The sequence below is a fragment of the Homo sapiens genome, chromosome 4, assembly GCF_000001405.40.
Source record: "Homo sapiens chromosome 4, GRCh38.p14 Primary Assembly".
NCBI lineage: Eukaryota > Metazoa > Chordata > Mammalia > Primates > Hominidae > Homo > Homo sapiens.
In genome coordinates this window covers 156,621,963-156,643,169 of record NC_000004.12, presented here as the reverse complement: position 1 = coordinate 156,643,169, position 21,207 = coordinate 156,621,963, and the positions used below count along the sequence as shown (strand labels likewise).

General features: G+C 37.0%; 1 long non-coding RNA gene across 6 annotated transcripts, besides 1 other annotated feature; it reads left to right on the top strand.

Annotated features, from left to right (window-relative positions):
* The first annotated feature begins 666 nt into the window (after window positions 1-666).
* LINC02272 (long intergenic non-protein coding RNA 2272) lies at window positions 667-20,145 on the top strand. Of its 6 annotated transcripts, none has more exons than XR_001741905.2 (5): window positions 667-905; window positions 6,564-6,759; window positions 8,299-8,423; window positions 18,321-19,487; window positions 19,602-20,145. It is a non-coding gene; the product is annotated as a long intergenic non-protein coding RNA 2272 (long non-coding RNA). The 6 variants fall into 6 exon arrangements; XR_001741906.1 differs by having other exon boundaries at window positions 693-905; window positions 18,321-18,422; window positions 19,411-20,145; XR_001741903.1 differs by having other exon boundaries at window positions 693-905; window positions 18,321-18,422; window positions 19,039-20,145.
* Window positions 8,471-8,972: an enhancer, noted in NCBI's record as "NANOG hESC enhancer chr4:157555350-157555851 (GRCh37/hg19 assembly coordinates)". NCBI's record gives its function as "activates a minimal SCP1, AML or CMV promoter by ChIP-STARR-seq in primed H9 embryonic stem cells {active_cell/tissue: H9 hESC(primed)}" and the evidence as "EXISTENCE:reporter gene assay evidence [ECO:0000049][PMID:30033119]".
* Window positions 20,146-21,207: the final 1,062 nt, after the last annotated feature.

Sequence of the window (21,207 nt, the reverse complement as noted above, 5' to 3'; positions counted from 1 at the left end):
AATTATTGGTACAATTAAGCAGTAACTGTAAAATTAGTGAGTAAATACCATTAAACCAGTTATTACAAGTATATATGCTAATATGACAGACAGCAGAGAACTGTACCCTGAAAATGGACTCTCCTCAACATTCCCTTCTAGCTACTTGAAAAAGGAAGGTCTACTGAATCCCTACTAGTAGACTCCATTGATCTCCATTGATTCACAAGAATAATAGTGTGAAACTAATGAAAACATGATGGCATGCAGCACAGACGGAAGGCTAGTAATTTTCACAGTATTATAGTCCAAATCCACCTGTCTCAAAACAACTCGTTAAAGTGTTAGCTCTCTTGTCATCATTTCAAACCACTCAATTTGATGTCTCTAGTAGTGTGTGCCAGGAATCTGCACTTAACAAGTTGCCTCATATCATTCTGATCACTTTTAAGGCTTAAAAGCTACTGCTATGTGTTGGGATGGGTGATCAAGTTTGGCTGGAACTTGCCATGTCTTTAAGCTGAGGAGCGAGTGGATCAGAGAGCAGCTGACCTCACAGAGCCATGGTTCAGTGACTCATTCAGACATGTCCTTGAGTAGTTGTTCTGGATTTCCTCGATGGTAGCAAGGTGAACTCATGAGGTGCTGGTCCAGAAAAGAACACGAGTGACTATGCCCATTGTCACTGCTCAGAAGTGTTCTGGAATCTTGTTTCCCGCCCTGAAATAAGTTGATGGCAGTTATGGCATGGGCTGATCTACCCAGTCAGCAAGGCCAGATTGCAGAGAAACTCAGAGTCTAGGAAAATGAATGTCTAGGAACATTCCTCAAATAGTCCTACCAGAAGACACAAAGATGATGCATCCGGATGAAGAATATATCACTGAGATTAATGGCCCTGGGTTGCAGCCAAAAGCATCTCAGAGGTTAGTTGAGGACAAAAAGAAGTGTGTCTTTCAATCCATCTCCAGCAGACTAGACACTTGAAGCAAGAAGTGTTCACAGAAGTGATAGGGCATTGAACTAATGCTTGAATTTAATTTAGCCTGTAGCTATTTATTAAATATGTCTAGCCTTTCTCAGGCAAAGAATTGGTGTCAAGGGCAATGAAAGTTAAAGTCAAATTAATCAAAACGCAAGTGAAGAAATTTCACGAAATATATATGGCATTGTGTGTTGGGTGGGGAGCAGAGGGGCAGAGGTCTCAGGGGAATTTGGGCTTGTAGAGGGAGTAGAGGTTGGCAAAAGGGTCCCTACCTTGTAAGATAGGTCTCTTCTAATAATTTGCCAGAACTTGAAACTGTGTATTGGAATAACTTTCATACTTGAGAATCTACTGCAGGTAAACTGGTCATTGCTTGACTTTATTATTACTAATTTTTATGGTATATATCTACTTCACTGGTTGATGATTCCATTCTTGGCTATAGAGAGATTTGGTTCTGCTTTTCTAATGTGTCAACTGCAGATGAAGTGCTTGCCAAATATTTAATAATGGGTTATAAAGTCATTTATGTTGGAGATTATTACTGCCACAGTCTAGGAAATGGAAATTCAATGAAATACAAATGACTCTACTGTCTCAATACAATGCCAGACTTGAATGAGATAATTTATGAACAAGAAAATGGCTATATTAAAAAGCATTATTAGATGAGAATGATGTCCACACAGTAGCTGACACATACTCTGCAATATCAATAAGAAGGAATTTTTCCACTAAACGGGATTTGTAACTGGACCTGCGTCTGGAGTTTGTTGTATTAAGTAAAGACAATAAATATTTCCTGCCTCCTTCCTTCCATCCTTCCCCTTCCTTCCTTCCCATCTTTTTTTCCTAACCCCCTTCCTTTCTTTCTTCTTGAGTCCTAGTTTTCTTGTAGATGACTCTGTTTTATGGTTCTAAATGTGGTGGGAGATAAGAAAGCATTGCAACAGGAGTCCAGGGACCAGGCGTCTTTTGGCTAAAAATCACCTGTATGATGGGATTGAGTAATCTAATCTCTTCAGGCTTGAGTCGATTTACTCATAAGAGGAGCAAGATTTGAATGACTATTCCATGAAATTAAACAAGAACTTGCTGAGTAGTGGGATGAAAAATGGAAAAGGCAGAGGGCTTATTTCAAGGAAGCTTCTGTTTGTTAGAAGAGGTGAAACTAAAAATAAATGTAGCTCACATGTCTCTTGAGGCCATCCTATCTTTTGGAAATGAAATTAAATGGATTCGATGGCCTTATATATTATCCCATGAAAAATATCTTGCCTTGCATATTTTTGAAAATTCCTGGAAGTTATATGTCAACATTGTCAGTTTTGGCTTAGGCGTTGGGTGTTTCTATTCCCACTGAACACTTGATTTAACTTAAATATAATTTTCTGTGTCTATTATCTTTCATCTGTACTAGGCCTAGACATAGAACTCAACCCGCTTCTTCTGAGAGAGGCAGCAGGGCATAGAGGTTGTTTGATGACAGTCTTTGTGCTTAGGATTGAATTCTCACTCTGACAGTACCTGTATAAGCTGGGCAAGCAGTCTATCCTCAGTTTACTCCCTTGTAAAATGGGCTAAAAATTTTTCTTATTCATACAGTGTTTTGTGAAAGCAAATGTGATCATTTAGACAAATACCTTCCATAAAGTGTGGTATAACGTAAATATTCAATACACTGTTATCATTCTTTAAAGTCACATATACTGGTACTTGTGCATATAGCATATGCCGTAGAGGCCTAAGAGTGCTGAGGACAGTTTATTGCATTGCAGCAACATAAACCATTGACCATTAGATAGAATTGTTTGCTAAGAGCACATCTGTTGATTTTTTTAACCATACCACAGAAGTAAATTGCAATACATGGCAATAGATGCAGTACTACAAGGCTCAAAAACCAGGGGGTTAGGGATTCACTTTGTCTTGGGAAAAGGGGCAATGGAAGGCTTCAGGAGAAGGTGATAATTGGCAGATGAATAGGGGTTTATCAAGTCAGTAAATTACAGAGGGCATTACAAGTTGAGATAAAGAAATGCACAAACCCTCTAATTTGGCATTCAAGGCATCATTTCACAGAATGTTTATTAGACATCTAACATGAAAAATATTGCTTTGGGAGCTGGAGTTACAGGAGAAGATAAAACTGTCAAAAAGACTGTAAGGATGCAACGTGTTATGAGAATAGATGTCAGGTCCTTTGGGTGTATATAGCAGGAAGCCTTAACCTGGTCTGAAATTGGGTTTCCTTGAGTATGTCATATTGAAGTTAACACAGCCAATGCCTCAGTCAATGCTATCAGTCCTACTTTTTGACAGAAATCTGCAGAATCCTGCACTGTCTTATCACCATCACTACCATCACATTGCTCCAAGAGACCATTGTCTTTTACATAGTCTACTGCACAGACTCGTAACTGCTCTCTCTGCTTCTCCCCTCCCCTCTTACAATCCATTCTCAACACGGGCACTCCAGTGATCCTGGTGAAACCTAGTGTTAGTCTATGCACTTCTTAGCTCAAAACCCTCTGATGACTCCTATTTTGCTCAGGGTAGAGTGGGAGCCCCCCCATAGACCATCTGATCCTGTTACTTATCAGTAGCCCCTGACCCTTTCTCCCTTGCTTATTGGCCCTAGCCATGCTAGCGTCCTGCTAATCCTCAAACACATCAAGCATGCTCCTTCCTCAGAATCTTTGTGATTGCTGTTCTCTCAGCCTAGAATGCTTTTCCCCCAGATATGAGTATGACTCACCCTATAATTTCCTTCAGATTCTTTCTCTAATGCCACTTTCAAAAACTACACAGCAACTACACAGTAAAAAAAAAAACCATCTCTGCCATCTCAGTATCCCATTTCCCCTCACCTTGAATTAGTGCTGCCCATGGTACTTATTCCATCTGACATACTTCATACTATTTGTTTATTTATTCGTTGCCTCTCTTCCCTTCCTAGAATGTGAGCCCAATGAGCTCGCTGATGTAACACCTGTGTCTAGAATAGTGTTGGGTACATAGCAGGTTCTTTGTAAGTGGTTGCTGAGGGAATGAATGAACATATGAGATGTGTTTGATAAAGAGGCTTGTGACAAGTGAGGTGGAGGGCTGGTTGGGGCAGGCTTCCAGCAGAGGGAACAGCAAATTCATTGGCTTTGAGCCGGAAAATGCAGCAAGTTGGAATGCATACAAGACATGCAATGTGGATGGAGTACAGAAAGCAGAGGAAACTGGAACTAGAAAATTTTTTCCCCTCTATAATCCTACTGTGATGATTAAAAATAAGATTCATTTATTATATTTTAGACTTTGTGGTGGAAAGTGGAAGGTACCTCAGGAATATAAAATGACTAGATTATAGCTGTACAATAAAATATTTTGTCTGTCAAGAATGTTTGCCTTACTGTTCTGAAGTTGTAGATTTGATAAGCTTTCTGGAATTATTTGATGTTTTCATTTGATTAAAAAAACTTGGGGACAAATCTATTCGGATGCTAAAAAAGAAAATATGGTTTTTCTTAATCTGCATTTTTTCTGTCCAATTTTAGAGACTGCCCTTTCTTTTCATTTTGCATTAAATATTCAGCAAGGCATTTTTGAAATGCTTTAAATTTTTGTCCTCTCTTTCCTTGGCTGTGACGTTCTTGCCTTGGCTGTGAGGTTCTTTCCTTGGCTGTTTTTTTTTAAGCAATCCGACAAGTTTTCTTCTGACTGATAGCCCTGGTGGCTGAGTGATGAGTGCATCTCATCTGGTTTGGGGACCAGTATACAAAGCCGTGCCTGAGGATCATGGAACATGGGCTGGCTGCTGCCATCCACAATATGAAATGAAAAGTTCACTTTAGAAAAATACACGTGGTGAAAGAAAATGTTCTTTTTACTTCAACATGGGAATAAAACATAAAATAAAATACATTCCCCCAAATGAGAACTCTGCTGAAATGGCTGATGTAGGGGAAAAAGAAATGCATAAATTTGCTTCTGAAGCTTGAGAGTGTTGCTAGAAGAATGTTGAAAACTTTGGAGTTCCATCGTATTATTTCTTGTAAAAATGTTTATTGATTTTCTTACTGAAGCTTAGATCATGTCTACATGAAGCAGAAAATTTACTTTGACTTGGAGTTTCTTACAGTCTAGCCAAGAAGAGTTGGAAGACACAAAAAATTGAACATTAAGTCCTAATTTGTGTAATTGTATCACTGAAGCCTGCTGGGGCCTTACTAGCATGGCTGCTGCTGTAGCGGCTGCTGGTGGGGAGGTATCAGTAAAAGAGAATGTGGCTGGAGGAACAAGGGTGGGGTAAGTCACCTGTCATTTGGCTTTAGAGAGGGGGTTGAATTTTTGCTTAATGTGCCTTAACTCAAGGATGTGGGAGAACCTGATCTTTCATCTGACAGATTTGCCATGATAAGAGATCAAGAATTGCATATGGGATGCCTTATCAGATTTTATCGGATTTGTAGACTATTAGGTCGAGTTTGCAGCTGTGAAATTCATTTATTTGGTGAATAATGCCTGTCCACAGTACTGAGGGCATAGTTCTGGATAAGTCAGCCAGGGCTTGGGATGAGCTCTAAGACTAGCAGGGAATAGTATTGTAAAGCAGGAAAATCAATTTGGTGCTGAGCACCAGGGTGGAGGTGGTTTATATAAACTGCAAGATTATGGGAGTATGAAAAACTAATATTTGAGAAAATGGGCCATCATTGAATGTGAATGTCATAATCAGATCTCTGTTTTGTTTATTTTTCTTTCAAGCAATTCAAGTACAGGTAACTCAGACAGTACAGAGAGGTACAGAATGAAAAGCAAATGTCATATAAATTTGTTCCACTCTTTAGAAGTAATGATTTCACATTTCTCTTCTTCCATAACAAAGGTTTAAGAAACACCTTCTAAAGCTGCTTAATATAGAGACTTAAGTGTTGCATATAAAGTTTAAAAATAGCCAAGAGAAAAATCGTAATATCATGATATTAGCAACAAAATGTAGCTGGCTGTGGGAGAAAAGTGTCTGTTACCTTTCACAGCAGTAAGTCAGTAGAAAAAATTTGGAGTTCACTGACTAATATTTAGAGATAAAATGGAACTGTGTGGGAAGATCAAAGTCACAAACTAAAACACTACAAGTAAAAATGTTTTCAGATGGCTAATGTGTTTGGAAATCAGGGTGGAGAATGGATTGTGGAAAGGAAAAGGAATCCCAAAACAGGGAGTTAATTTTGAGGCAGTACCACCAAGGCAAGTTGAAAATGGAGAGACCCTGGCCTGGGTAGTGTAATGTGGACCCAGAGGTGGAGAAAGGCAATGGCGAAATCATGGAAGTAAAATTTCATGGAAGTATTGGAAGCAGAAAAACCACAGCATTGAGATGGTCATTCATACAAATGATGATATTCCTCAAGCTGTTAGGGAAACGTAGTGTAGGGAAAAGAAAAACAATTAAACCCCATTCCAAATATGTAAAGGAATATAAAGAACTGACCTATAATCTAAAGGATTCAAAAGGATGTCCTCGGAGAATTCAAGCTAGCGTCACAGTGCTAAAAACAGTCGCTGGAGACTAAAGAAAGTGCTGACAGTTTTCCTTACGTTTCAGGTAGAACACTGTTGCAGATGGTGATGTTACCATTTGAAAGTAAGAAGAAAACTAGTATCTCTTTACACCAAGAGTAAAAATAGAGAAGATGCTTACAAACTGCAACACATAGAGTTTCTTGAAATCACAGTTTGGGAGTGGAGGAAAAGGCTGCTTAAGTGTTTGGAAAGGGAGAGTAAGGATGAAATAGAGTGGGGTAAGCCTGAATTAATCTGTAGTGAGAGCCGAACATAGAATATATGTATTAATAATATGTATAAATTAGGAAATAACTTGACCTGTAATTCAAGTATAATCTTAGTGTATTTTTAAAAAAATTTTACACATAAATACAGCACATACTTAAATTGTTCATGAAATATTTATTTAGTAATTTATTGAGTTGTAATTTCCTAATGTTTACCTTCAGTATTAAGAGGGAGTAGACCACATGCAGGTATGCACTGTCACCACCCTAAGGCATAAATTGTGTGACCTTTTGTACAGGTAGATAGACATGTATTGCTAGGTGTGCTCAAACCACTTTCCTTTGATTTCTATAAATTAATGAATAAAAGCACTTAGAAGATTTTCACTGAGTTTAGCTACATTTTCTTTCCTCAATGGGTTTCTAATCTTTCCAAGTTGAAAGTTTATAGCTTTGGCTCTGTTTGATTTATATGAGCAAAAAGAAAAATCTTAACCGTATTTTTTTTTATAACTGGAGAAGCATATTTCTTCTATTTTCATATAACACACAAATAGCTAGACAGATCTTGCTTAAGCCTTCAAAAGAAATTCCATTTTAGACTAGACATTAATGTGGAAAATTTGAGGCCAAATGATTTAACTTTTTAAAATCTTGTAACTAGGAGAGAGAGACAGAGAGTGAGAGAGAGACAGAGAGAGAAAAAAAGGCAAGAGTAAGAGAAGAGGCAGAAAGAAACACACACAGAGAGAGAAGTAAAGTAATTTATAAATTAATTGGAATATTTGTCTGCATCATTAAACTTTATATGCACATTTTACAATTTCATTTCTAGTTCTCTATAGTGCTTGTTAATTTGCATAATGTATGTTTTAAGTTTCAGTTGAACAGTTATTTTTGTTTCTGGAAAGCATGCAGGTTAATATTTTCTCTGAATTGTATAATTTAAACATAATTTTTTATACTACGATGAAGAAAAGCAGAAGATGCAGCAGGAATATATGTTAGTTAAGCACTAAACAGTTACAAAATATTGGGAGAAAGCAAAAAAGTAAAGACCTGATTCACCAGACACAATTTCTTCTGTGTGGAGAACACCCATGGACTTCAAAGGGTTTACTACACAAAAACCAGACTCACAAGATGGGGGAGGGAATGAAAATCTGCCAACAATTGGTAGTTGTAGACTCTCCGCCAAGTTTTAAAAACTTAGAAGTTGTCCCTTTTGATTTTTATCAGTGAAAAATGTCTGGAATGACCAGAGTCACTTCTAAAGTTTTTCATGTCTTTGTATTTGTACAGACTAAAATAAGTTAAAAAAAACTTTCTATTTTCAATAAACATTTACCAATTATAATGAATAGACATGAAGTGTTAATACTTATATTTCCTTCAGAGGCAATAAAATGTTTTTTTATTTTTATATATTTATTAGCATGTTTTGGGCTTGGGAAGACTTTGGCAATTATAGTGTAATTTCTTTTATTAACATAATTTAAGATGTATTTTTACTTGAGTGTTTCACATGTTGTGCCTTCTTCTGCCTAGGGTATGATGCATTTCCTGACTGTGGTCGGCTTTCCATGGGTGAAACAGAAAAGTCTTCAAATATCCTCACCAACTGCTTTCCTAGATTTTTCAGCCAGTTACTTGACCATATTAGGAAAAGAAAGGTGAGCTTGGGCTTCAGGACATAGAAAACAACATTAGTTATGCTGGAAAGTATCACCAAAGAAGTGCAGCTCAGACAAGCTGTATTCTATTTTGTTCTTTTGAACATAAACACCTATAAAGGGACCAAAAGAAATCTAAATGATCAACGGGAGCAATCCTGAATAGGCAACAACAATCATTATTGCCAAGTGATTGTCTTATCATTTGTCATCAGTTTTTTTTTCAGAGTAATTACATTTAAATGTAAATGTGTCTTATTGTCTTCTATTTACAGTGTTGCTGCATGAGTGTTTGCAGGTGTGTGTTTGTGTGCAAGGTTTAGGATAACTTAGATGCAGATCAGAGGTGATGGCTTTTACAGAAGCAGTTGATCTCTCATTCCTTTGAACCTAGAGCCTAGTATCATGTAAAGCCAGTTGGCAGAAATGGGGAGGAGATATTCATCTTTTTTTATGATGGGAAATCAATTATTTGGAACACAACAATGAACTATTCATTGGTTTAGTCCACACATTGTAAAACGACCAATTTATTTCATTTATGTACCTTGAATTTAGGATTTCTTTTTCTAATCTGTGTACAACGCAAAAATACTTTTGGTTTCTCGTAGACATAGCTTTGGTAGAATTCTGCTGCTCTTTCTATTATAGTTTGACAGCTGCAGTAAGCACACACATCTGCCATATTGAGGTCAAGTGGTACACTGTCATCTATCGTAACAGCTGTTGTTGGGGGATCGTTTCAAGTATCCAAAGGATGAATGGAATATAAATGATCACTGCATAAAGTATATAAATTTGGGTTTATTGGTTTTGAAACTGATTTGTTATCCACATACTCTGTAGTTTTTTTTTTTCCTAGTACTCCCATGAGGCTCAGCATGAGGTTACAAAGAAAAAAGAAGTCCTCATCTAATTATCTAAATATTTAAGAATGCTGAAATCTTGCTGGCGTAACAAATCAGTGCCAGAAAAAAGTCTCGTTAAATGAACAGTTTCATGTATGGTTCCTACTTAAAATATATCACAATCTGAACTTAAAATGCACATATAAAACTATAATATATAGTACATCATATATGTAATACAATATATGAAATACATAAAACAGTATATTAATAGGTCAAATTTTAACGTTATATGATAGGCCTAATATTGCTTTAATATCATTTGTAAAGTCTGTCTAGATCTATGTTTTTCTCTCTCTATCTCTATCTCTAGATTTGGATCTCTGTCTCTAGGATAGACTAATATTACCACTTCTAAACATCTATCCTGGAATATCAGGTCATCTACATCTATGTACTATGTGTGTGTTGTCACCATTTTGTTTCTACAAAAACAATGCTTTTGATCAAAGTAAACAGAAAGTTTAAGGAGTTCATATTTAAATGGAAATGTATAAACACACATACACAGTCCGGTAGAGCTTGTAAGTGGGTTTGTCCAATGTGATTAGAAATAAAGAACATATTTTAAGTGAAAGGAAATTATTGGTTATGTGGAAGAGTTACAAAGATACAGAGATGTTTTGGGGGCAGCTATCAGTAAAGGAAGGATTATTGTAGGTAATCATATGGTTTGGCATTGTATAATTTTTTCACCATTTACCATTCTTTGCTTGTCTGACATCATCACAATCATTAATTTGTGAAGAAAGTTTCCACGAATAGAAGTCCTCAACACTTAGAATTTTTGTAACCTGCATTTTAGTCACATGTAGGGAGAAGAGAACTTTTATGACAGGATGATGCCATGTTTGATTCGCTTTATGCTAATTCTAAAAGAATGGATCATTTGAATCTATATCATATTTGTGGAGCTCTTGGGAATATGCAGATTAATAAAGGCCATGCTACTGAAAGTTACCTTTTGTTTCTGTTGTCTATCCTCACTCTTCAGTGATCTTATCCAGTTCTCTACCTTAAAAGACTACCTATACACTGATGACACAAATGTATATCACTGGCCCAGACTTTCCCTTAAACTCCAGGCTTCTTCATCCAACTGCCGTGAGACATTTCCTCGGTCATCTAAATGTAGAGAATCAAGCTATTGATTTCTTTACCTGTCTCCCTGTTTTCACGGTCTTTCCTATCTCAAAAATGAATAGATAAATAAATAAATAAAATCATTTGTTAAGTTCTAGCATTTTTAATGGGCCTCACATTACTATAATGTTATTGTAAAGTCTTAGTGAGGACTAAATTTATTCAAAAGAGTGTTATTAGAACAAGAAAAAATGAATAGCTTTACTGTCTTCTCTTTTACAGTAGAGCAGATGTTAACTTTTTTCTTGTTACGATGGTGGTATTAATTCAATATCAACACTTTTCCTGTTGGTAAAGAAAAGCTTTCTGTGCAGACAGACTAGGCAATATGACTTCTAAACAAATTCTCCCTGCTCCTTTGCAGGCAAAAAGGAAATTATCAAAAAACTACATTTTTGAATATGCACAACTGAATTAAAATCTCCAATGGGTAATTGAGATAAAATGTTCTAAAATACTGAGGAGTGTCAATATATATTTCTACATGACCTTGGGTTATTTTCTATTAATATAAGGTGACTTATAATTGCTTTACCAAATTCATTATTTTAAATTAGGATTATGAAGACACATCTTTATATAAAGAATGTGAAAAAGGAATAAACATGCCAGATTAGTATAGAGCCAAGATAACAGTATTTTATAGCCAAGAACATATAGATTATTTTTCTTATTTCCCTGCCCTGGGCAATTTCTGAGAAAAATCCAGAAATAGAAGAACGCTGAAGTGTGAGGTTATGATAACCTGATTTATTGAAGAAGGTAAGCAGTCCAACAGAAGACATTTTTTGGAAGATACAAATCTTGTTTTTCAGACCAAAAAGACAATTTCGCTTGCAGACACCTTCATATGCACACTGTGAGATGTTTTGGATTTTGTTTTGCAGACTGATGAACCATTGTGGGGCAAGTTACTCATGACTTCATCCCTATTACAAATGACAGTTAAGAGATTTACTATGCATATGTAATGATTTGCCACATATGCATAGAATTAAATATCCCAGGCTTCTCTAATGTTTCATGTAAGATCTGCTGTTTTGCTTGGTATATGATTGTAAACGTGGCAGAGTTAAGAGATTTTAAGAACACGTGAAAACAACCTTAGTGATTATGAGTATGTGAAGACTTATTCTCAAGAAGTGATTGATAGATGTGGGAAAGAGCACTATTCTAGGAATCAGGAGACCTGAGTTCCTGGACTCAGCTCCAGTTCATCCAAATGACATGCCTGGGTGGCCTCCCTCTGGGCCCAAGATTGTCTCTTTTTTGAAATGAGGAGAATAATCATTGTCTTGCTGAAGTGCAGGTTGTTGTAAATAATAAAAGGCATAATAAAACAGTTGATAAAAGGCTAAGGAGAGTTCATACATTTTTCCATGGATAAAATGACAGTTCACTCCAGACAGTAGAGCAGATTCAAGGAGAAAAAAGCCAAAACACCAAGTTCAATTATAAAGTCAACACACAACTGATAAAATTAGACACGTGCAAAAGGTAACATAAACATGAAATATTTCTGTTGCTGGAATCAAGACAAGCCTGGCCAAAATAGCATGCTTAAAGCTAATCAAGAATGGTTAGTTTTAGAATGTTTAAAGAGAAATTGTGTTCTGTTGAAGAGAGGTGGTGTCTTGGGGTGAGTTTCTTAAAAGTAGACCCTGAGATGAGGCTCCATGCACTTTACCTATTAGGAAAAGTTCCCCGAGAAATGTAAAGTTTTGAGTAGAGAAGCAAGAAGTAAGGGAAAGAGGTCAAACAAAGGTGTGTTATCAAATTGAGACCTGCAAAAGGTAAATCTGGTTCAGTCCCACAGGGGAGATCTTGAGATCCTGTTGGTCATGTCTAGAACTTAAAAGGAAAACAGTATAAGAGAAAATAGTTGTAACTGTGAATTAGGGATACACCCTGAGGGAACACACTGACATATAAATCTGATAAATTGAATTCACCCATATTTTCTGTATGGTTCTAGAGATGAATGGATGTTTTTGAATATTCATTCATGTAGTCATCCATGCATTCTATGGATTATATACAGACATCTACTATGTGGCGCATGCTGAGTGTGGCAGTAAGGTGTACCCTCAGAAGGTTACCATATACTGGGGAAGACAGAATCAGAGGAGAATTTGTAATAAACAAGTGTTATGGTACCCTCAGGGCTTTACCCAGTTTTTGTCACATATTAGTAAAGAGGCAGGAAAGCCGAATGAACACTCATCACTGTGTGATCCTGAAAATTACCCAACACTTTCTCAGCATGCTATGGATCTGTGCTGTGGAGGTAACATTTGTGCTATGGAGATAACAACTCTACATAAATGATAGTTTGTTTTTGTAAAGACTAAATGAGACAATGCTGTTAGGAATTTTATATCTCTTTCTAGTGAATATTGAACTCATACAAGTAATCTCAATTTTTCTGATTCTACTTTTACCAAAAACTCTGAATATACTTTAGATCTGCATAGAGATGGAAAAGTACTGGTAAAGAATATGAATGGCTTAGTCTTCTGGAAGTCACATTTCACACTGTAAATTGAACTTTAGCTTTATAGACACATAGTACAGTAACCGTAAAAAGTTGTTTAACATCTTCATTGGAATTTAAGGCAGGGTGGATTCTGGTGGCTGCAGGAATCTTTTGTTGTTATTCTCCCAGAATATTCTCCACCGTAGAGGCTTTTCTCACTCCTGAAATGGTACACTGATGGAATGAAGATTTGGAAGTCGGAGAAAGGAGACTGCTAATTTGCTTAGAAATGCTGGAAGTCAGAATACTTGAGGCAGATGGACTGATGGGATGGTACTTTAATCACCTTTTACATTCCCATCTTAGAGTTATGGGGATAGCCCAACAAACAACATCTGTTAGTGGGCAGATGAAACTGGTGGCAATTTACGAGTCGTATATACTCACAGCCCAGGGAGAAGGGTATAGCATGATGTGCAGGGTCACATGAGGGTTGCACTTGGACAACCAGAAGTTGTGGGAGACAGGCATTGTGGTATTGTAGTATCCAGAGGTTGGAGTACCCACTGGTTCCAGGAGGATGTGACTAGCTTGTTTGAATAATTTCGCTGGCAGGGAACTGAAACCTGCTACTGAGGGATAAGTAGGGAGTGCACCTGGTCCTTTTGATAGGGAGGGTTTTTTGGCTAGTGGACCTTATCCATAGAGTTGGGAGGGGAACGTGTATTTAGGCCCTTGGAAGGCCTTTCAATAGATGTCAAGATGGCACATATCTGAGCCTTAATTTTGGGCTTTATGCCACAGAAGGCCAGAGGGGAGGAGTCAAAGAGAAGAGGAGCCTCCTTGAGCAGTCATGATGAAGAGAAATTTTATGGAAATTACATGTTTTCAAGATGCTTTGCTCAAATTATTGTAGGTGCGCAAAGTAAAACCTCTTTCTCCATCTCTTCTCTAACATATCCAATAGCATCAACTTCAATAATACAGGATTTCGTGCAAGTAGAGCTTCAATGAGAAAGCAAAGAAGTGCTGAGTCTAGCTCTAAATTTGGCATGGGGTTAGAGCAGAGACTGCCTTTGGGGACAGTAGTCATGAGTCATATTGATCACTATTTTATGAGCTTGGTTTTCTGAGTCTATTAGCTGCTTTCCAATTTTGTTAGCACCCTGAAGGTCAGATCCTGGCTGGCAGTCATTTGACAAAGCAAATGCCAACTAGTGGGCCTTCTCAGCTGATACCTTCTACCGGGCCATGTACTTTCTATGTCTGACATATGACCATTCTAAATTAAGTTTGCTAATACTGAAGTATGCCAGCTCCCTTTCTTCTCTGGTACATTTTTCAGTTTCGGGTTTTTGGTGTTTTTTTGTTTTGTTTTGTTTCTTTTTTGGTAACCTCTTTAAAGATTGCACAGCAGAAAACAAATATTTTAGAAAATAAACTATCTGACTTTTTCATTAAATATTTTCACAGAATTTACTTTAAGCAAAGTTTTATCCTTTAGCAACAGATTTTTATCTTTCAAATGTCTATCTTTAAACTTGTGCTGGAAAATTCACTTAAAATAACATGACTAACATTTCCAAGAAATGCATCCATGATTGCATTGAAGTAAACAAAGAAAGAAAATGAAAGGAGGAATATTATTGTTATTCTTATTCTCATTAAAAATATTCAGAGATAGGTGAGACAGAGGGTACATAGATTTAAGATAAGGTTAATGATGTAATACATATGATATGGTTTGGCTGTGTCCCCAACTAAATCTCATCTTGATTTCGATTCCCACAATTCCCACATGTTGTGGGAGGTACCCAGCCTGAGATAATTGAATCATGGGGGTAGGACTTTCCCATGCTGTTCTTGTGACAATAAATGAGTCTCAAGAGATCTGATGGTTTTAAAAATGGGCGTTCCCCTGCACAAGGTCTCTCTTTGTCTCCTGCCATCCATGTAAGATGTGACTTGCTCCTCCTTGCCTTCTGCCATGATTGTGAGGCCTCCCCAGACATATGGAATTGTAAATCTGTTAAGCCTTTCTTTTGTAAATTGCCCAGTCTCCAGTATGTCTTTATAGGCAGCATGAAAACAGCATGATATGTAAATACAATATATTTACATAATTATTTAAAAAGTCCTCTTGGAAAGTCTGCTGGTATTTCTAGGCTGTGGATAGTGCCTTCAAAACATAATGAGTAGTAGATAAAGGAGCATGAAGAGATGGAAAAAAAAGTAGAAGTAGAAATTCTATATATTTTTTTGAAACAGGGTCCAGCTCTATTGCCCAGGCTGGAATACAGTGGCGCAATCTCAGCTCACTGCAGCCTTGATCTCCAATGCTCAAGCCATCCTTCCACTTCAGCCTCCTGAGCAGCTGGGACTACAGGCATGTACTACCATGCCAGGATAATTTTGTTTACTTCTTGGAGAGACAAAGTCTCACCATGTTGCCCAGGCTGGTCTCTAACTTGGGCTCATGCAATCCTCCCACCTTGACCTTCCAAAGTGCTGGATTACAGGCGTGAGACTCTGCACCCAGTGTGAAGTAGAAATTTTAAAGCGCAGATGTTAGAGGAAGTTCAGGGCAGGGTCTCAGAAAACTGTGGGTTTCCTAGTTGCCTCTTTCTATTACCTTTACCTTTCTGCCAAACTGTCAAAGATAATTTTTTTACATTTATTTGACTCATCAACAGTTTTTTAATCTCTCCTCAATTCAATATATTTTAAACTCTGTGGTATACAGTAAACCCATAGTGTAATTTTAAAACTTGTTTAACTTTGATCTACTTTGACCTTTCCTCCAATTCTTGTCTGAGGATGTGGTAGACATTTGTTGTTTTCAGATTGCAACCTCTCCTCCATCTTTCTATGGCAACAGTATCTCATCTGCCTAGAATGAATGTTTCCTCACCATGTTCTTTCCATGTGCTGCACCCTCCCTACACTTCAGGAACTCCTAGGAATGATCAGGATAGCCAGTCCCACTGGCCACAGTTACTAGTTCAGGAATGAGCTCATGACCCAAGTCAACCATTGCAGTCAACTAAATACAGTTCTAGGCCTTTAGTTTGAGCTAGTAGGTTCTTTCTTTCTGCTAGATTCAGTCTTCTGGTCTGGCTGTAAACCTGCAGCTTATGGGGACTGCTACATGGACTCAAATAATTGAGCCAACTCAGAGAAAGAGGGCAGAAAAATGAGCCTTGGAAGATTATCTGAGACCTTTAAGGAATATGAGCCAATATATAACTTTTTTTCATTATTTTACTTGAGAACCTAGTTTTAATTTTAAAATGGAGACTTCTAATAATGTTATGAGTCATTTACTTTCACCTAATCCCCCTGATTTTTTATTTTTGTTGCATTAAACTAGTTTGTAAATTATACCCTACAGGTAAACTAACACTTTCTTTCCCCCCAGTAGTGAATTCTAGCATTAAGCAGCTGAGAGGAAGGTGTTAAAGTCGATGGCCTGAGATCTTTTCACTCCCTTTATGGTAGAATGGTGGATGGTAGAAACAGTACTGGAGGAAAGAAAAGAAGATAGGTGACTCCTTAAAATCTCCCTGTCAACTTAACTGCTGAGTAAAAAACTAACGTTATTTGCTAGTAAGAAACACATTAACTCTTAACTGCTTTTACTAGGATGCCCCAAGCTAGGGATTGCCTAGGAAAATAGAACCTGGGATTTATCAGGTATGGCTTCTAGGGGATGGGAAGGTCATGTCATGAAAGCTGTGCCATTCCCTCAAATTGTTTAATATTTTAAAAGTTCTGAATTTATTAATCTGAACCAGAATCTGGGAGCTGCCATTGATGATCCAGATAGGTCTTTGCGTTTTCTGAGCCTTTTCCTTGACTACATCCTTGAAATTATTTAGTAAAGTTTGATAGGTAAAAGCTCTGATTCCTGAGAGTCTGATTTGACAATCAGGTCCTGTAAATTAGCTCAATGACCTAAGTGGATAAATAGAAGTTTTACTGCATTAGTAAAGCTACTAGCTAAGCTTGGCCTGTAAGGGAGTTCAGTGAGGGTCTCTCTAAGTGTCTTGCACAAGCATTAAAATATATTTAATTTGTGTCACACAAGAGCCTGGGTGATTAATATGCATGGCTTCTGCATCTACCTTTTGAATAATGTTAGAGAGAATTTGTTGAAACGGGAATTTTGTGGCCTCATTGTTAAACGAGTCCTAAAGATCACCAACAAAATCATCATGGCAAATATGACCACATTCCAGCAGGATAGGCCTCATCATCAGTGCAAGACTTGAAAAAGAGGTGAAGAAAACAGATTTGGAAACTTTGACCTTTCATTGATTTCTAGAGTACAACAGTTGGAGTTGAAAGGGCCAAGGATATCAAGAATTAAGTCTTTCTTTGAAGAATATGAATCTTTGGTGTGCTATAAATTCCTATAAAAAAGGAAGAATGTCCTTTTCACCTGAAGCCTTGTGGGAATGGCTTCACAAAGGCTGGTCAGAATTTGGGAATTGATGGAACAGATACATTCCTCCTTATTAACTAAACTGCTCCCCATTGCATCCGCCTCTCACTCCCTCTATCAATAACAGGGGACAAGAAGCCACAAACAGCCTGGGATTGGGTAGTGGGAGAGAAGCCAGTCGAGTGAAAAAATAAAGCCCACCAAGCAGGCTGATAATCTGAAGGAGATAAAATCCTGGAAAAGAAGAAGTTCAACCCTAAACTAAATTATGCGTTCTTTAAAAAAATGCTTGGATCTTAATACATTGATCAGCAAAAAAAATCGATCTGTAACAGTGGCCATAAGTGATCAGAGGACATTTTAGTTTTGTGAGGGAGAGAGAATAGTTATGAAGATTATCCATGTTTTCATCCATGGTTGAAGGAAGAGCCAGCTTTTAGGGGGGATTTGATGGATCAGTGGGGGTGGGAGGATGGGGAGTTAGGGGGCAGAATAAGATACTTTTCTGACTTGAATACTTTTTTTTCTTAATATTACCAAAAAACATACTTGTTATGTTCCTCTTTCTATAATTTTTGGTGATATAACTGTGATAAAAGACAAATCTCAAATGTAAGTATATAAATTGGGCTAGGAGATGTAGATGTATTTAAATAACTCCTTCTGTTGGAAGGGCCCAAGATCATGGGCCCTTCCCAGGGTGATCTATGCCCAGTGACTGGTAGACATGGGATATAAACACTTAGGCCTCTTTCTCCAGCTAGGAGAATCTGGAGGTTCATCTCAGCCTTAGAGCTCTGCATAGGGATGGCCGAGGCCAATGTTGAGACTGTATCACAGCCATCATTTTTTTTTGTCCATTTCTCCTTCCTTCCCTTCCCTTTCCTTCACTGGTGCTGATTCTAAGATTTCTCATAAATCTTTAGCATACTACACCCATCTCAGAGCTGGCCTCTTGAGGTAGCCACACCGCCACAGGAACCATTGTAATCTCTGCATCAAGTTCAAGTTCACAAATAAGCAAAGAGGTGTGTACTACTATTTGACACTTAGGTGTATTGGAGCACAATTTGACATGAGTAAGGTTATTAAGGTTTACATTTATTTTCTTAATTGTGTTCAAATGTAATTCCTTTAAGTTCCTGGAAGAAACACTTTTTATTTATATTGGTATAAACTATGTGGAAGTTTTTAGAGGAAATTTAATACTGTGTAAAGTGAAATAAAATCATTTTTACCTTCACTGCCTTAAAAGAGACATAAAAAATATAAATCTAATTTAGAAGTTTCAATAGTTTATTAGTTTTACCTATTTAAGCTAAATTCCTTAAATGTAGTTTTTCTTTTGGGAGGAAACATTGTTTTGTGTGTGATGAACACTTAGATAACTTTCAAGAAGGATATAAAACTGATATATATCTTCACTCGCTTGCCAGATAAAATAAGAAATTTCTATTCATGTTCATTGACTCATTTATTTTTTTGGTTAAATTCTGTTTACTTATGTCATTTGTTTTAAGTTTTTATTAAGGTGACAACAAATTTCAAACTGACAGCATTTAAAATAAATATTCACCATTGCCAACATAGCTTTTTAAGAGTCTGCAAATAGAAAGAAAGGTAATTTTTTTCTGTATTTTCCAGACTTGTGACAAAGAGCTAGGTGAAAACAGGGGAAAAAGGAGGAAAATAAAGAAGCACCAGACTAAACCTGAAGAAAGGGGACATTTAAAAATTCTTCCTTTTGTGTTCAGAGCTCACAACATAGAAAAAGATATGGTTAAAAAAAAGTCGTGATGCTCATAAAAAGCAACATTTTATTTTCAAGCCAATTACATTAATTATACAATTACCTTGTAGCCAGTAAGAATCACATATATATGAAAGCAAAATATTGTTTAATTGAATAAAACAATCTGATACATATGCCCAAAAAACAATAGAGTAAATAAGAGTTTTCCCAACAGTGGCAAAGAGAATAATTTTCATGTTGAGTTTTATTGATCTCCGGAACAGTAGCTCCCCTGAGCAGAGAACCATAACAGAATTAAGGAAAGATATTTCCATTCCAGAGACCAGACATTTGGAGGACAGTGAGTATAAATCATGAACCTAGCCAATTATTTTATTTCTTATTGGATTCTTGACTGTTTCTTACTTTCATCATTTCGTGAGTCATGACTAACAGTGCTTGTGCTCATCTACAGTAATTGATTCTGAGAGAAATTTCTCCAAGGATTCCTGCAGTTCTCCTTTGAACATACGAAGAGGGAACATTCTTTCAGTCCTAGAAGTTGCTGAAGCAGAGATGGAGAACCCCAGACTGGAGGGCTTTGATTTCACCCTGCACATCTAAGGGCATAAATTGGTTCCAGGTCAGGATCATATGAGCATAAGTCTGAGTTGGGTGTCTCTGATCATTCCAGAATTCCATTGGAAGGCAGACTTATATTCCTGAGAAGCAGGAATGAGAAGCACAGTGGAATTTTGCAAAGGAAACAGAACTTGAACTCAGCAGTCGTAGGTGCCAGTCCTTGACTAGCTATAATATTGGGCAAGTCATATAAATTCTCCAGGCACAGTGTCCCTTTTGGCAAACAACAGACAGAATATAAATATGTGTTGCCAGGTCAGTGGACATTTCAAGGACAGTTTGATTTTAATGTGAAGTCATCTAATTTTAAATGCTCTATTAAATTTTATTTTTTTTAGTTGTATAAGCTTAAGAACAGGTATCAGACAAGACTTCTTCAGGACAGACAAAGCACTATTTCATTTTTTTTTCCTCTGGCCTTCCCAGCTCAGATTCTCAAAAAATAAAAGAAATTAAAAAAAAAATTCTGCTTTCAATCCCTGCTTTTTTCTATTTTTTAATTATCACACCATACACTTCAGTTGGTCTTCTGCTCCACCACCTCATGAAAAGGATCTCTATTAAAAACTCTCAAGACTTCACGTCACTAACGAAGATGGACATTGTTTTTTCCCCTATTTTACCTGACCTGTAAGTAGCATTTGAACATCTCAAGTAACCTTTCCTTCTTGAAATCATCATTTTATTTGGCTTCATTGACACATAATCTGCTTTCCTCTGATCTTTCTGGATGCTCTTTCTCAATAGCCTTTTGAAAAGGTTTCTTCCTCCTCCCTCTGTCCTTTAAATATTGTATTTTCAAAACTTGCTCTAGCCGTTTTCTTTTTTCAAACCATATTATCCATGCGAATGTCTTTGAGTACCCTTTATACAACAAAAGAATCCCAAATGTGTACCTCTATGGACTATTAGAATCAACTGCTTTCAAAACATCTAATTTTTAGGCCATTCAAACTCAACATGCCCAAAACTCAACTAGTGATCTTTTCCTTAAAAGTTGGTTCTCCTTCAGGATTTTATATCTCCACACTTGTCATTCATATCTATCTGTTGGTCAAGTTAGAACTCTAGGACTCAACTGCCATTGCGATTGCTCTTGTACCTAGAATTTCTAATCCATTTGCTTCTACATTTATTACACATTCTACTTCTCTCCATCTGCACTGCTGTCACCTTGGTCCAAGCAACAATCTTTGCTCTTGAAGTCACCTCCACTCTTTCTTTTTATTTATTTATTTATTTATTTTATTTTATTTTATTTTAGACAGAGTCTTGCTTTGTCTGCAGGCTGGAGTACAGTGTTGCGATCTCAGCTCACTGCAACCTCCACCTCCCAGGTTCAAGCAATTCTCCTTCCTTAGCCTCCTGAGTAGCTGAGACTACAGGCGTGTGCCACCATGCCCAGCTAATTTTTGTATTTTTAGTAGAGACCATGTTGG